Source organism: Homo sapiens, chromosome 13 (assembly GCF_000001405.40).
Source record: "Homo sapiens chromosome 13, GRCh38.p14 Primary Assembly".
NCBI lineage: Eukaryota > Metazoa > Chordata > Mammalia > Primates > Hominidae > Homo > Homo sapiens.
The window spans coordinates 79,936,007-79,938,012 of NC_000013.11; the positions used below are offsets into that span (position 1 = coordinate 79,936,007).

The 2,006-nt window shown below is 41.2% G+C and overlaps 1 annotated feature.

Moving 5' to 3' along the window:
* Nucleotides 288–1,487: an enhancer, noted in NCBI's record as "P300/CBP strongly-dependent group 1 enhancer chr13:80510429-80511628 (GRCh37/hg19 assembly coordinates)". NCBI's record gives its function as "activates an origin of replication core promoter dependent on BRD2, BRD4, P300/CBP, MED14 and CDK7 cofactors, with strong dependence on P300/CBP, by STARR-seq in HCT116 cells {active_cell/tissue: HCT116}" and the evidence as "EXISTENCE:reporter gene assay evidence [ECO:0000049][PMID:35650434]".

Below are 2,006 nucleotides of genomic sequence, written 5' to 3' on the forward strand. Positions count from 1 at the left end.
CCCCAAGGGAACCCCAAATCTGACTCTCTATGATCTGACATATGAACCCAAACATTTCTCCCAATAAATTACATCTCCTGTGTAATAAAACAAAATTGGCTGCTTTGGGGTATAGCAGAATATTTCAGGCACCATTTGGCCACAGTTTGGTTCGTTGCTCATATACATTCTGATGATGGGGATCTCTGTGGCCTAGGTTGGTCTGGGAAGAGGAATGTTGAGTTCACTCACTGGACCAAACAATGCAGGAATGTTTTTTCCCTGTCCATTCACTTAAACAATGTGCCATTCTGTACCTTATAAGCACTTAATTTATTCCAACTCTTTGGCCTGACCTGTAATCCCCTTCTCCTTACCCATCTGACCCATCTGTGTTTCATTTCCCACTCATCAGCATCCAAAGAGCTAGGCCCAGGGCCTGTTTGGAACCATTAGACAGAGATTGGCACTCTTCCCTCTTCCTGCGCCACATCCTCCACTGGAAAAAAAATGACCATCAGATCAGAGAACAGAGCCTGCTTTGTCCCCTGCAACAGGGATCTGGAAGCATTTTCAATCATTTGCACTCTATACCCACTCAAACGCATTAATGTGATCAACATTAGGCCTGTTGTGGGCATTTTTTCCAGCAAATAGCTTGCTAACATTCCAGGCATGTACTTCCCTGAAAACAAGACTGAGACAGGGCCCTGAATATTCAATTGGAAAATCACCAAGAGCAAAAGCTTAGCTTGGCACGGCTGGTGTTGATTCTTAATAAGTGACTTCCTAAAGCTGAGGCATGGGGCTTACAGCGTCAATGACTTGTTTGAAAAATATTTTGTAGGTGCCTCATACCACTCTGTTTCCTGTGGTATGCGTCATATTGTGAGCTATTCCAAGCTGGCCTGGTTAAGCACGCTAAGTTTTTCCCCCCAAGATTGTGGTGTTTAACTAAAAATGTCTTTATACAAGATGAGCTCATAGCTATTAGTGCTGATGTAGTTTTAACTGCTTGGATACCAACTGCAGTCGCTTGAAAATGTACTGCAGAAGGGTAAACGCAAGCAAAAACATATCTCACCCCGTCTAAAATGGCGGGATGCAGTCCCAGCGGCAGCGTTTCTTCAGGGGAGAAAGCTCCAGATTTAAGTACAATGCATACCTTTCACTTTCATTAAAAAGACTTACTGTTCTTAGTACATTACTAAAGTCAAGGTGCTGAAGACATCTGGTACACTGGAATAAAATTAACCCTTTTTATGGCTTCGGGTGTTTTGTAAAACTTGCCAAGGAGCAAAGCTAAGGTAATTGGAGAAAACAAGTGTATCTTTTCAATCAAATTTCCAAAAGGGAAACAAAAAGAGATCCAACGACCTAAAATTCTATCTCTGAGATTAAAGTACATACAAGTAGGATTTGCATAAGGTTCAAATAATAAGATATCGAATATAAAATGTCTTGACAGTTATTTAGAAATCAAAAGATGGGTAAGGGAATTAATACTGTTGTGTCCTCTGTATACCTCACATAGCTTTCGGCCTTTCTACCTTCTACATTGTTCTTCACAGCACTTATGGTGTAGAGATTATTATTTTCCTTTTGCAAACAAGGCCAGAGAATCCCAGAGGGATTCAGTAAGCTCCCCAAGGCCACACAGTTGATTAAGTATAGAAGCAGGATTCGAAATTAGGTCAGTGTGAATAGCAAGCTTGTGTTCTATCCCCTACCTTGCTACTTACAGATAAAAATATTCTCATCTCTATTATGGCTGTAATTGTCTACTTGTTCAAAGGCTGTGTGTTGGCCATGGTGTACTGGGCTAGAACAGGAGATGAATATAAATCTGTGTCATATTCCTTCCTGTCTCCCTCTAGTGAATAGGTTACAGACAGTATCTAGTTTGGGGCCCATACCCAGTAGGTGCCCAGTGGCTATTAAGTGATTAGACATTGTACATGCCATCTCTGAATGATTTGTGTTTCTACAATAGGGCCTTTTATAACAGAGAAGAGAGGGATTGATAC